The sequence below is a fragment of the Homo sapiens genome, chromosome X, assembly GCF_000001405.40.
Source record: "Homo sapiens chromosome X, GRCh38.p14 Primary Assembly".
Lineage (NCBI taxonomy): Eukaryota > Metazoa > Chordata > Mammalia > Primates > Hominidae > Homo > Homo sapiens.
The window spans coordinates 123,611,550-123,627,018 of NC_000023.11; the positions used below are offsets into that span (position 1 = coordinate 123,611,550).

The 15,469-nt window shown below is 34.2% G+C and overlaps 1 protein-coding gene across 19 annotated transcripts in view; it reads right to left on the reverse strand.

Annotated features, from left to right (window-relative positions):
- THOC2 (THO complex subunit 2) overlaps positions 1–15,469 on the reverse strand; it is a 132,484-nt gene that overhangs the window by 10,981 nt on the left and 106,034 nt on the right. For 7 of the 19 annotated variants that reach the window (XM_047442267.1, XM_047442265.1, XM_047442266.1 and 4 more), the window contains 14 exons: positions 14,972–15,113; positions 14,363–14,520; positions 12,992–13,120; positions 12,511–12,642; positions 12,238–12,422; positions 12,095–12,160; positions 11,556–11,734; positions 11,209–11,311; positions 9,608–10,038; positions 9,358–9,416; positions 7,852–7,968; positions 2,503–2,640; positions 2,090–2,159; positions 1,850–2,007 (listed from right to left, as the gene is read on the reverse strand). In XM_047442267.1, the coding sequence (XP_047298223.1) occupies positions 1,850–2,007; positions 2,090–2,159; positions 2,503–2,640; positions 7,852–7,968; positions 9,358–9,416; positions 9,608–10,038; positions 11,209–11,311; positions 11,556–11,734; positions 12,095–12,160; positions 12,238–12,422; positions 12,511–12,642; positions 12,992–13,120; positions 14,363–14,520; positions 14,972–15,113 (2,067 nt within the window). Of the gene's footprint in view, positions 1–1,849; positions 2,008–2,089; positions 2,160–2,502; positions 2,641–7,851; positions 7,969–8,638; positions 9,417–9,607; positions 10,039–11,208; positions 11,312–11,555; positions 11,735–12,094; positions 12,161–12,237; positions 12,423–12,510; positions 12,643–12,991; positions 13,121–14,362; positions 14,521–14,971; positions 15,114–15,469 lie in introns of those variants that run through there. The other 12 variants (NM_001081550.2, NM_001441236.1, XM_017029679.2 and 9 more) reach the window with 4 other exon arrangements.

Genomic DNA, 15,469 nt, shown 5'->3' on the forward strand with positions numbered 1-15,469 from the left:
AAAGCCAAATATAAAAGCCAGCTCAAAACCCCTTTTCATCACCCGCGAGCTATATTTGTCTTCAAAAACTTACTTAACATGACACCAAAAGCATAAGCAACAAAAGGAAAAAAATAGATACATTGAACTTCATCAAAAGTAAAAACATTCATGCATCAAAGAACACTATCAAGAAAGTGAAAAGACAACCTATAGAACTGGAGAAAAAATTTGCAAATCACCTATCTCATAAGGATCTAGTATCCAAAGTACATAAAGAACTCTTACAACTGAGCAACAAAAACACAAACCCTCAAAATAAAAAATGGTCAAGGTATCTGAACAGATTTCTTGAAAGATAAACAAATGGCCAATAAGCACATGAAAAGATGTTCAGCATCATTAGTTATTAAGAAAATGCAAATCAAAACCACAATGAGACACCACTTCACACTTACTGGAATGGCTATAATAAAAAACAAAAACAGAAAATAACCAGTGTTGACAAAGATGTAGAGAAATCTGCACTCTGATACTTTGTTGGTAGAAATGTAAACTGTACAGCCACTGTCTAAAAGATTTTGGTGGTTCCTCAAAAAGTTAAACATAGAATTACCATATAACCCAGAAATTCCATTCTTGGGCATATATCCAAGATAATTAAAAATAGGTGTTTGAACAAATACTTATAGCCCCACACAAATGTTCACAGCAGCACTATTCACAATAGCCAAAACGTGGAAACAATTCAAAAGTCCATCAACTGAAAAATGGATAAACAAATGTGGTATATTCATATAATGAAATATTACTTAGCTATAAAAAGAAATGAAGTAAATGACACATGCTACAACATGGAAGAACTTCAAAAACATTATGCTAAGTGAAAGACATCAGACACAAAAGGGCACATTATTGTACTATTTCATTTATATAAAATATTCAGAATGAGTGAATCCATAAAGAAAACAGATTTATGGTTCCCAGGGGCTGAGAAGGGGAAATGGGAGTGACTGTTTAAATGGGTATAGAGTTTTCTCTTGGAGGTGATAAAAATGTTTTGGAACTAGATAGAGATGATTACACAATACTGTGAATATACTAAATGTCACTTAAATGTACACCTGTAAAATGATTAATTTTATGTTATTTGAATTTTACCTCAATTAAAAAACACCTAAAAGAACAGCCTATCTTTTAAAGCATAGAATTAAAATGTTCATTATATAATTTTCTAGAGCTGTTTTTATGAACTATGAATAAATGGCATATATTTTCAATATATATAACAATGTTTTGGAAACAATTTATACTTTAGTAATGGCTTGCTTATTACTTTATGGCAGATGCGTGAGATTCACTTTAAATATCAACCATTAATATGTAAGAGAATGTATCTTATACTCAATTTTTAAATCAAATACAAGTATCAAACAAATGAGTTTATTAGGAGAAAACGTTACAAAAATGTTTCAAATCACAATCAAGACTTTATGATGCTATGATGGTCAGAGAGAATACATGTGACCATATTTTAATCTCAGGAATAAAGAGAAACTAAAAGCAAAGAGTTGGTGGAGAAAAAAGAAAATGCAAAGAACAGCTGAAACTCAATCAACAGAAGTAGGTGGGAATGGAATGGAGAGGGGAAAGGAATCTCAGAGGTATACTAACTCTACCCTCCTGGTAATCTGGGACTGAACTGACTCAAATTCCCCAAACGGAATGCCCTCCCTCAATACCTCTTCTTCCCACTCCTAAATAATGAACAAAAGACTATAGGACTAGGAAAAAAATTCAATATTTGCTAAATTTTCAGGATTGATTTTTTTAAGATAAAGCATATTATTCCTTTATTTTCCTAATTTACCTTTTTGCCACCGGAGGAGATTTTATCCATCTTCTCAGATTTAAATGAATCACTGCCTTTTTCTTTGCCTGAAGATTTTGACTTATTTTTTTCCTTGTCTTTCTCATTTGGATAAGGAGATTCACAAGGACTTTCACTTTTATGTTTTGAAACCCCCACTAAAATTACAAAAGAAAATCATGAAAGCCTTTTCCAATTCACTTCGATGATATCTTCAAAGATATGAATAAGTCTACCTACTTGTTCCATTCTCCTCTTTACGTCTCTTGGTTAAGTCCGGTGGCACTTCACGGTCGTTGTTTGAGTGATCCTAGAACCAAGAATTGTGAACTACATTGACCAAGGGCTTCTGTTTTTGTTTTAAAGTATTACTTTTATATGAGAAGGGCACAGCTAACTAGCAATGGAGAGTATTTGCAGTAGTTTCACATACTTGGTAAAATGGCATGAAAGACAAGCAGAGCTGACAGAGATTACTAGGCTGAAGATCCTTATTAACGTAGAAAATGCAAACACTTCAGGGTAAAAATATCAATAAAATCATGAAATAACAGACTACTATGGAACAAACTAGTATTTTTTAAAAGGCAACATACACACTGGTGTACATGATAATGAGCTTTCCAAACTAGTTTAAAAAAAATTTTACAAACCCTTTTCCGCTCTTTCCTGTCCTTTTCATCTTTTTTCTCTCTTTCTCTGGATCTTTCCCTTGACTTGTCCAAATCTTTCTTGTCCATTTCTCTCTCCTTACTCTTGGACAGTGGTGGAGGAGTATGATTAATGTAGAGCTGTTAAATTAAGGCAATATTACTAAAGATTATTAGTTTTCCAGTATTGGCATCACTTGTTTGTTTACTAAATGAAACACAATTGGGAATTATACCCAAAGTAAAAACTGGTCAGCTATCTGGATTACAAGAGGTAAAATAAAAGGGCATGGCACAAATTATACAAAGGCTTCAATTCTTGGCCTTATAAAAATCACCATTTAAACTCCATCAGTTCATTTGTGCCTCAACTGAGACTCATTAGTAAATTCACAAGCTAGAGTATTCCTTATAGCTCTATTGTAAAGACCTATAACCACCATTACAAGAGTCCATATATGAACAATAGTGACTGGAGTTTCTCTACTGTTTAAAAAAAAAAAGAAAAAGAAAAAAACACCTCTACACAATCATGGAAATTTTAAATAGTCTTACCATCCACCGATAGGCAGTCAATAATGGCAATGGGCAAAAGTATAAAAATAAAACCTAGCTATGATTTTGCTAATAATTCTTTTCTGCCTCAGTGTGAACCATGCAAAGATTATCTCAAATTATTTTTACAAATGTAAAGGCTGCATGTTCTCTACTTCTGAAAGCACTCCAATTTCTATCAAAATAATCACAATTAACTGTGAAATTTGTCTTCCTGGTTCTAAATACCTCAGAAAGCCATCTAGTCAGCTGAGGATGACTAAACAATTCAAAAGACTAAAAAATAATGAACCAATATTCTCCTCTGCCTATTCTTTCTCTGCCAAAAGGGCTATACGCAATAAAACAGCCAATCATCAAGGATATTCTAACTAAATAATTGAGAGATAACCCTTCTTAGGTGAGTTGTAAATATGGAAATATGCTGTAACATAAAATATTTAGGAAGTAGTCAGGAAATAATCAGATACCTAACCTTACGGCATTTATATCTGTGCTACAAGCCTATGTTTAATTTAAGACATTAAAAGTATTATGCAGCAGAATACTGAATATAACTCATTACATAACTACACAATGCTAGATACACCTTAGGAACAAATAGAATAGTGAGTCAAAAGTCAAATATTTTTACATGAAGAAATCCTTTGGTATTCAAAGGAATACATGAAAAATGAAAACCATCAGTTTGAGAATTAAACACTTATTTTTTAACACCACCAAACATTTTCAATTCAGTTGGCTCAGAAATACTGCCATAGCAATGCAGAAGTAGATTCTTTAAAATTTCAATGTTTAAAAGTTGATAAACTGAAATAGACAAAATGCTTATTAATAAAGAGCAAGAGAACGATAGTCATAAAAATACTTGTCTAAAAGATACTCTTGCTGGCTAGAATGCCTTAAATGACATCAAGATTTTTCTAATCGTGAGGTTTATTCATATCTTAACATTATTTATGAAAATGATTAAGACAAAGGAAATATTGCTGCAATACTCAAAGAAGACTTCTCTAAGTAGTAATTTTTCCCAATAAAAGCAAAAAAAAAAATACACACACACACACACACACACACAACCCTTATTAATAATGAAGTTTTGAACTGTGCTTACTTTCTGTACTGTGAGGAATTGAGAAATTTTTCTAGAACTTACTTCTGGCATTAATGTTCAAATACTTCATTCTTGACATAAAAAGTCACATAGCTCAACTGACAATCAGAAATTCTTAGTTCAGAATGTACCCAATTCAATTCCTTCTTTAGAATAGTTCTGATCAAATACTCTTTTGCATAAAAACAGAGTTTCTCATTGCCTAATGAATTAAATGCATACCCCTTAGTTTAGGCATTCCAAACTCTCCACCATCTTTTCACAATTATATCCTGCTATAGTAACCCAATGCATTCTATGCTGTGGCTATCACTGCTCCCTAACATCTGTCCTTTCCAGCAGTTCTCATTACTAGAATGGTTGTTCATTTTTATCTTAACTTCTTAAAATCCTACTTAGCCTTCAAAGATGGCCAAAGTCAACAGCACTCAACCATCCCTCAACTCTGCAACTCACTTTACATTATTTTATATTTACCTTTTTTTTAGGACAAGTGCTCCCTATTAACTTCATGTCATACATTTTTGTCCATAACAGTTTCCAGTATGGTAGAAGAGCTAAGGTGCCTTTCTACTTTTACATACTTCCTAGTTCCTTGTACACACAGTGAATACTCAATACAAGTTTGACAAATAAAATTAAGGATTCATTAAATGGATTTGTATGTAGCATCGCTGGGTTTTGTTCTTGATTGGCTTTTATTCTTGACATTCGGATCATTAAGGTCCAAAAAAGAATTTGACTGATTTTCAAAATCTGTTTCAGAAAACTCTGCTCCACTGACTTTATTAAAGCTTCACTATATTATATAAAGATGGCCTCACTTTTAGGCTTGGGTTTGGCTGTAAATCCTCATTTTAAGATGGTGAACAAATTGAAAGCTAAATTCTGTCTTGAGGTGGTTACTGATGCCCTCCTAAATTAGAGAGAGGCTGATTAATGGAACCTGTTTTTTGTTTTTTTTTTTTTAACACTATCTTCATCAAAAGTAGCTGCTAGAATTGCTACATCAAAACACAATTGATCAAAACTAGAAATACACTATTTGGAAATTAGGGGTAAAGGGTGAACTGACAGAAAAGATTTGGATACTAAGCTAGATTTTTCTTCTTTTAGTTAATCTCATTTGAAAAGCTAAAATCCATGTATTGCTTTTACCACAAATTAGAAAGTAAAAATAGCAAATAAATAATAAAGAGAATCCCACAGAAAACGCATAACTAAAAAGTCAAACTAAAGCAGGGAGAGAATTTTATAGGTACAAGTGACAAGATAATATGAAAATAGATGCGTATCTTCCAAACCCTCTAGAAAGTAAAAGCTACCTCAGAAACAGGCTAAAGATAATCAACTTTGGAGATCACTCAAAGTCCAGTGAAATTTTTTTTCTAAGACATTCATATGCTATTAAACTTTCTAGACACATAAAAATGCAACATCAGCTACTATGCAAACCAGTACTTTGCATGCTTTACCAAAGTGCAAAGGCTTAAGAGATCACTTCAAGTATTTATTGAATACCTAACCTTACTGCCAGGCACCATGCTAAGCACTAAAGATCTGAAAAGTAGTAGGAGTCACACAGTTTTTAGAAGCATATGTATATGCCATTTTCAAATTTTTCTGGTTGCATGTGGAATAAATTAATTAAATTTTAAAGGCCTGCAAAACACCATTTTTAAAAAGGAGGGATGTGGGAGACTGACTTGAATCACTGTAATTTTTAAAAACCAAGGCAAGCACACTAAAGGAGCTAGAAAAACCCTCTCAACTATTGTTGAAATGGGTGGTGCTAGGAATCAAGAAACCTTAATTTTAGTTCATGTTTTGATACTAACAAATTCTATGTAACTGGGAAAGCTAAAGAACTTTTAGTCTCTCATTTGTCAAAAAGACACTATCCACCTGCCCTGTCTACCTCACAGCACTGTTATGAGCATGAAATGAGATAGTACATATATTCAAAAGGCCTTTTCACAAATGTGAGGAACCATCATCGATTAGAAAATCCAGTTAATTTTAACAGCAGGTTACAAACTGCTTCAAAGTATGTTTCAGTAAACAAATATTCAGAAGTTAACACTGTTAGCCCATTAATTTAAAATAGCCCATAGAAGCCACTGATGGTTAAGACTGACATAAACAATTTGAAACTGGTTATAAAAACCTACTATATTGCAGTATATATTTAAGTTAGCCAATAAAAAGTTTACATTAAATGAAAGTTCTATAGATATCAAAATTGAAATGGAATATAAATTAAGTTTTCCAAAACTAACCTAAATAGGAACATCATTTTAAATAATAATCCCATGTAATAATAAATAGCGGTATATAATTCCAACCTGATATCAACATTTTTGTAACTCCTACTAGGTATGGAGAACTCTGTTAGTATTGTGACGTTATGGCTAACAGCAAAAAAACAAAAATACGTTGGACGTTTAGAATTTTCAAAAATAATGTCATTAGGTTGATGTTGTGTCTAATGTGTTATTTCGGCTTGTTCTTCAATAGCGTATTACAGAATAACCCCGATATCTACTTCAAATAAAACATCCATTCAAATCAGAAAAAAAATAAAACTAAATGGAACTTCTCCCAGCATAGCTGAGACTTTTGATTAATATAGTATATTCTAAAAAACAATGCTACAATTTTAGGACACAGGTACACTGGCTAATATAAACTTAAAAATTAGTGCCTTATTTGCCCAATATCCACAGACATTTCATTATAAATCTATACATCTAAAAGCAGTTAGTAATGTCAACTGGCTCTGTTTCAAAATTTCATTTGGTCCACCAGTAAAGAAATCATGCTTAGCTGATTTCTATTTTAATCATGGCAAGCAATATTTATGCTGAAAAATAGGCTTCATTCTGCTGAGCAGATTCATTTGCTTGTAGCTTGTAAGAGGAGGCAAAGTAGAAAATCAAAGAAGGGTACACGTTTTATAACAAAGACAAAACAACATGAACAATGGACAATTCAAGTATAATACTGAAATAAACTCTGTAATAAGATACACAAACTGCACACTACTTTTAGTAGCAGAATACTCAAGAAAGTAGAATAATAGGTAAGAATTAATACTGACATGTAAACACAACCACCGAGTATTCCTGTCCAGGGGAATGATTCTTTCACATTAACAGTATCTCCTGATATTGTGCTGTAACTACCAAAAAGGTACCTCAGCAGAGGATATATAAAGAATTTTTATAGATTGAGATGAGTTCCATTTTTAAAACAGATATGTGAATGCATCAAATTTATTTTTTGGTATTTTGGGTTGTCTAAACAGTCAGACAGCCTGGCAGATTTGTTTTGAAAAATTAAATAAACCCAAAACAATCAAATAACCTCTTCCCCGAATGTTAAACTTATTTCCAGATTTTGAAAAAGCATAAAAGGAGAAGGTATAACACAGCAAGCAAGGAGAGATGATAGAAATGTTGCCACATTACACACATTTTATAACAATCTCATTAAAAGGGACCACTGTCATCTGTTGTTTCAGTTTTAACATTTAATATTTTTGAAGGTTATTCAATGTAAGCAGAGTACTTTATCCCACTGATCTCAGCTTACTGAATGTACTAGGGTGAGGACATCTACTAAATAAAATAAGTAAAGAACATTTGGTTTACTTAGGCATGATGATTTTAAAAGACTCAAACCTTTGCTGAAGATTCCTTGAGTTCGATGAGACTGTCCTGTAGAAAATGAATGGAGATGACAGGTGAGCTGGCATAGTTCTCAGAACCCAGAGGAACTTTGGGAAGTATGGCTGTAACCTGGAAATAAACCAGCTACTTCTTGTGAGGATAAATTTCATGATGTCATTATCAATATGAATATCAACAATAAAAAAAAACATGTAATGGAATTGGAATGTTAAAAACTAAATTAAATGTACTCAATGTAAGAAATAAAAATCTTTCTCTGCTCAGAATTTAAAAATAAATGTCAATGCCACATTGTTCATATCTCTCTACTTAAGCTATAGTTAAGAGGTTTAAGAAAGCAAAACATTTTTTTCTCCACAAAAAATTTAAAATACTGGAGGTCACTGTGGAAGAACAACATTGCCTTATATTTTTCATAGTTCTTCTTTAATTGGGAGGATTCACATTTTACTTTATTTTTAACTCTAATATGAATATACACATCCTAGCTGAAAAATTCAGTGGCATTGTATTAACAAGAAAACAAAATATATAAGAGTAATCACTTTTTTTTTCTGCAAAGTGCCTATCATGGTGAATCTCACACCTCCCACACACAAAGAAAGCATTAAAAAAAAAGAAAGAAAAAGAAATCAACTACGATATTCCACCACAGTGCTCTTGATGAACAATTAATAACTTACAGTTTTTTAAAAGTTCAACGTACTGCAAATTCAAAGATTCCATGAAATTAGATGACTTTAGAATTAAAATTAAATATGGAGCAAGGAATGGCTACCCTGAGTCTTCAAGAAGGCTACACCCACGATTTTGTGCTGCAGTTGAATGCCTGGGGTTTCTCTTTGCTGGGTGGTAGGATTGGATGCCACATCTGCTTTTATCGTAACGCAAGGTTCAACTTGTTGGGAACCCAATGGGTATAAACAAACCTCCAAGGGAAGATACAACAGAAGCTGCATGCTCACTGAATATACACAACTACAGGAGAACTGATCACCAAGGAGACTTTAAAATGGAACTCCTTTCAAGACTCCTTCTTAGAAGGCACACATCGGTATGATGCTCATCAAGAAGCTTGAATTCAGAGGTAACTTGTTTATCTTGTGTCATCCAGGAAGTCTTCAGTGCTATATATTCTTCAATATGCTGAAAAATAGGCTTCATTCTGCTGAAAAGATTCGTTTGCTTGTAGCTACCATTGCACTCCAAAAAAGACTGCTTAAAGCAGTTGAGGCACTTCTGGGTAAAATTTCTCTTGCACTTTGAAACACTACAAAATTAGTGCTAAGTCCTTGAAGTTTTAACATTTTTATAATAAAAATACTCAATAGGAAAAAAAATCAGTCCACCAATATAGAAAAATTCATTTTCTAATGCAATATAAAACCTCCAGTGGCTCCAGTGAATGCTTGGCATAAGACTTGAAGGAAGTCAGGACACTGGTATTCCAAACAGGTGAGCCTAACATGGACGCTGCCTTCCTCAGGCTATACTAACCTTTACTGTGGAGGAATGTGATGGAGAAGGGTGAGTATCAATTTTGCGGCGTTTTTGTTCTGTTAAGACAAAAAGAAATAGTCAGAATAAGGTACATTTCTAGTTTTCCAAACACTTAAAAAAAAACACCAACTTGTATGACAAGTTCCCCTAGCAAAACCCCTATATAACTTACCAAAACAAGGAGACAATAACCAACTATACATTAAAATAACAAAACGTAAGAACGTATAAAGAAAGGTAAACTTGCCCCTTTCAGGCTCTGGAATATCTGATCTGGGAACAGGTGATTTCAAGGACCCAGAAACTGGTGTTTTTTCTCCTCCTTTAACATTTTCCTTTGATTTCATTTCCTTTGCTATATCTCTTTCTCTGGATGGCTCCTTCTCTCTTTCCCTTTCTTGAGTTGATTTTGATTCTGCGTTGGGGACAGTGGTCTTAAATTTCTCATCTTTAGCTTTTTCTTCCTTCTTGAATTTTTCTTTCTCTTTGTCAGACTTCGGCGTTCTTTCCTTGGTCTCTCTTGCTTTTTCATCTTTATTTGGCCGCTCTTCCTTTGGTTTTTCTTTACCATCTTTACCAAGTACCCTGGCCTCTGGAGTAGTAGCTGGAGTCTTTTCTTTTTTCTCTTTTTCTTTCTCTTTCCCTTTTTCTTTGTCATTTTCTTTAACAGCTTTGTTGCTTAAGAATAAAAACATGGGATTTTAACACAAATAATCATAAAATATATCCTTTGATATATGATAAAATATATCATAAAGGGTTTCTTACTAACTTCAAAAATACTAGAACTAAGGGGGAGTCCTTTGAAAACTAAAGGACAACTTTAAGACAAGGAAAAAGGAAGAAGTAATGGTCGGGTGCAGTGGCTCACGCCTGTAATCCCAGCACTCTGGGAGGCTGAGGAGGGTGGATCACTTGAGGTCAGGAGTTCGAGACCAGCCTGGTCAACATGGTGAAACCCCGTCTCTACTAAAAATACAAAAAACTTAGCTGCGCATGGTGGCGGGCACCTGTAATCCCAGCTACTCTGGAGGCTGAGGCAAGAGAATCACTTGAACCTGGGAGGCAGAGGTTGCAGTGAGCCAAAATCACACCACTGCACTCCAGCCTGGGTGACAGAGCAAGACTCCTTCTCGAAAAAAGGAAGTATTTCTTTATCCAGTAAATCATAAACAAATTCATTAATTGCAGATTTAAAAGATGTATTAGCCGGGCACGGTGGCTCACACCTATAATCCAGCACTTTGGGAGGCCAAAGCAGGCAAATCACGTGAGGCCAGGAGTTTGAGACCAGCCTGGTCAACATGGCAAAACCCTGTCTCTACTAAAAACACACAAAAAATTAGCCGGGAGTGGTGGCACACGCTTGTAATCCCAGCTACTAGGGAGGCTGAAGCACAAGAATCGCTTCAACCCACAGCAATCCCTCTATCCTAAAATATTTGTTTAACTTCACACCTACATTCCCCTGAATATCCCAGAAGGAGAAACAAAGTCGTTATACAAGCATAACTATACAAAACATAATTAGGATGTAAAGCGTATCAGCAAAATAGGGTACATACAAAATTTCAAAGCCCAACATAAATGACTTTTCACATTACTCAACAACCACTCCCCTTCTACTCATGAGGACTCATAGAAGAATTTAGAATTATGAGGGCCAGGTGCAGTGGCTCATGCCTCTAATTCCAGCAGTGTGGAAAGCCAAGGCAGGTGGATCGCTTGAGGCCAGAAGTTCGAGACCAGCCTGGGCAACATTGCAAGACCAACCCCGTCTCAAAAAAATACATAAAAATCATTTTTAAAAAGAATTTAGAATTATGACACATGGCACAGTGTTCCTACCTGTTAGAGCCACTATTTCCATTGCTTGAATTCCCTTTAGGTGTGGTACTAGAAGCTTTATTAACAGCTTTCACACCACACTGAGATCTCTCCCTTGATTTATCTGAAATAAAAGTAAGGTTTTATTTAACAAGCCCCTAAATGTAAATAAGCTACAATTTCAGAGCAAAATGATTAGAGAATAATTAGAAAGAAACAGCAAGCTGATTACTTCTTAACGCTTATATACTCCTATCTAGGGAATAAAAAGTAATACTAAGCCAGCATTGTACTCGTTCTGTGATACAAAACATTTCACTTTGTTGAAATAAAATATATTACTTATAAGTTTCTACAAATAAGCATACCAGTCTCCTCAGTACTGCTTTCATCCGATTTAGATGCACTTCCTATTGATGATGAAGAAGGCCCACCACCAGGCCCATTTTGCACACTGGCAACTGCATTCCTCGGAGGGGGGTCTTTGTGATGAAACTCATTTTCAGGTATCATGTATGACTTTCTACTTTTCAACTGCCCAGAGTAGCTGAAAGTCGCACAAAGTGTTTAAATATACAAACACAAATCAAAAAACATAAACATGAGGTTTTTAAGAATAAAATTAGCAAGTTATTCATTCTACTATGTGGTTCTAGAGAATTAAAAAATACCAATTTTTAATAAGTTCTTGAAGGTTTTTATAGAACGCCCAGCTTTCTTAAAAATTACAATTTCACTATAAACTAATCCTTAAACTAAGATGGCTTTTTTTTTTTACTCTTGAAGATCTGTTAACTATGATGATAAAATTATATTTCCTCCCAATCAAGAAATATTATACATGACTTTAAAAAAACTATCATCCAGTATAGACCGGAAGTTGATAATCAGAAGTGGTAACTCTCACCAGCCTGTGGAAACATGATCGCATAATCTCCCATAATCTCCTGAAGGCAGAAGATAAACTTCAACACTGTAAAACATTTTAAAGTCTTCAGAATCCTTCTGTCATCTAGTCTTGTAAATCACATTAAAATATAATTTTGTTACCCCATAGCCAATGCATATAGATCTGGCCTCTTCTCTTTTTCTTCTTGGCAGATTTTGTGTACTCTTCTTTCCAAAGCTTGACCCAGATTCAAAACTTTTGGGTACCAAGGAAGTATTTTTGTTAGCACAATCAAGATATTCCTGATGTGAGTATATTCGCCTGTTTCAAGGCAATGTACCGATGCCTACAACAAACATTTTCAGATCCATTATTATAAAAGCACAAGTATACAGAGAAAAATTTGCCTTTGAAAAATCCAATTTTTTTTTTACCTTGGTTAGTTTGTAATGCCATTTATGTACAACATGTCGAAAATTTTCATAGTCTAATTGATCAGCCTTATTTCCACCATCAAATCCAGTTGCCCGTAATATGGTAAGGAATCCTGGATAGTTTCCACATTCCTAAGGAAACAATGTTTGTCACTTTTAAAGAAAAATTATGATCCACAAAATAGCAGAAATTGAAACTTAAGTAGACTAGATCAATGTTTCCGTGTAAAAACATCATGCGTATTTGGATAGGTAGTCACAAAAAGTTCAACTTATACAAAGATACTAATTTGGAATGTCAGTTTGAGATAGAATAAAAAAGTACATAGCACATTTTAATAACAAATTAATTGTGCTTATAAACACAGTTTTACAACTGAATCTTAAACTCAGCTTCTCTTTTAAAACTCAACTATCTAGATATTAATGGATGTGGTCATTATATACATGGGTAAAATATAAGGGTTTTTATTAGTCATACCTTTTCATATGTGGCTCTATCACTATGCCACCTGGTCACAGTCTCTAACATGCAGCAAAGAAACCTTCCGTATCGACTGGCTTCATTTTCAGTACAGCTTGCAACTGTGTAAATTATGTCAGAGAAAACCTACAGGAGAAAAATGTTTAAAAAATATAAACAAATCAAGGTCAAAATCAGTTAAAAATATTAGAAGATTCTCTTACAGCAAGTCATAATAAACAGGTAAGCCTAGTCAAAATGTATATTCCCTTTATATAATGACACTGCAGAGAACTTTGGAGATTTTGGCTTTTGTGGGGAAATAATGCATTCATAAAACAACCACCCAAAACAAGAACTTTTATAAAGAAAGCTGATTTACAGTGACAAGGAAAAAAAAATTTATCATTATTATTACATAATAAGTTGTTTTTTTTTTATTACATAATAGTTTCTTAACCACTTAGCCATACATATTACTGGGTTTACGGGGAGAGTAAGCAGAGGAAATGCTGATAGAAATTAAAAATATGCAGCTGACATACTGGAACATACATTATGTTTTTTGTTTTGTTTTGTTTTGTTTTGAGACTGAGTCTTACTCTGTCACCCAGGCTGGAGGGCCGTGGTGTGATCTAGGCTCACTGCAAGCTCCGCGTCTCAGGTTCACACCATTCTCCTGCCTCAGCCTCCTGAGTAGCTGGGACTACAGGCACCCACCACCACACCCGGCTAATTTTTTTGTATTTTTTTTTTTAGTAGAGACGGGGTTTCACCATGTTAGCCAGGATGGTCTCGATCTCCTGACCTTGTGATCCACCCGCCTCGGCCTCCCGAAGTACTGGGATTACAGGCATGAGCCACCGCACCCGGCCACATTATGTTTTTAAACCACAAAATGTAGTAATAAGAAAAAAGCTAAATGCAAAATGTGCATATGACCATACTGAAAAGCTTCCCTGCTTTTATATGTGTGTGAAGGTGTAAACTTTTTTGTCTTTTTTTTTTTTTTTGAGAAGTGAAGGTTAAGAATGGAGAAGAGAGTTCTACCTATTATGATACAACACGTAAACTCAAATACTTAGTTAATAGTTTAACCTTGAGTGCCTATTACATATCAGGTACTTTTTATGTGTAGTGATTCATTTAATCCTCACAACAATCTTATGAAGCAGGTACTTATGCTTTACAGATAAGAAAACAGGCACAGAGAGGTTAAATAACTTGCCAAAGATCATACAGCTAGAAAGTAGTAGAGCTAGGATTCAAGTTCAGACACTTGGTTCTTGAGTTCATGCTTTTTAACTAAACACACAATAATACCTCTATAAATTATAATGTTAGCTATCTTTGTGTGAGAACTTTTTAAAGGTTGCAATAAAAACTTACTCGATCATAGCAAAGAAGTGTGGAAAAATTTGGAGTTTTCTGTTGATGTACCAATTCAACAAAACGAGCACAGTAAACAGCATCAATTGCTGAAAAAATACATCGAGGAAATATACACAGCTGTAGAAATTTTGTGATGGTCTCATTTTTGGTAGATTCTAAAAATAAAGGAAGAATATATTAAGTGGTAAACTTCTTCCCCAAGTGCCTCAAAGCCACTAAACATGACAACATATTACCTTTAGTGAAGAGAATACTATAAACCACAAACTATTTATAGTTTGTAACCAAATGTCATGCCTGGTCATGATTATCATTTTTACTATGTGGACCTTTTTTTCTATGATTTCTCCAGAAATATGTTTTATACAGAAAAGCTGAATGACAAGCTGCCAATATGTAGTTAAAAGTTAATTAACTTCACCAGCAAACTATATCAGTTCCTCCAGTGAACATGAAGTTGATTCTGCATTAACAAATAACCAAAGAATGGGATAGGGAACACTGAGTTGAAATACAAACATAATACACTTTAACACCTCTAAAGTTATAATGTTTTGTTTTCTGTAATTTACCAGCATCAGGAACCTAACAATTCCAACAACTTACTTGCTAAAAGCCAGTTGTCCTTTTCCAGTTTCAATCTCTGTAGAACTCTCTGTACATGTTCCATCTGTTTCTTTTCTTCTTCAAGAAGCTTGTCCTGAAGGGCAGTACAGCGCTCCTTCTCTTTTTTCTTTTTATTTGGGGGCTACAAAGAATTCAATTAGACACTTTTCTAACTATATGCACATTACCTTTCTTCTTTTAATTGAAAAGTTTAAAGAGATAAAGGCTGATAGTTTATAACTACTTTAACATGAATATAGGTCCACTTGAACGTGCTACTTTTATCTCCATTCAACACACTCATAACACTGTCATGGCATCTTCATACACCATCAGAACAGGCTACATTTGCAACACTGACACTATTAGTCTCAGGCATGGTGTCATCTTTGACTCTTCCCTCTCCTTTATATCAAGACTGGTTTACAAGCCTTGTACACTGCCACTACCTCCATCAGTCTATGCTCTCACAATAGACTGCCCAAAAAGCCACCTAGC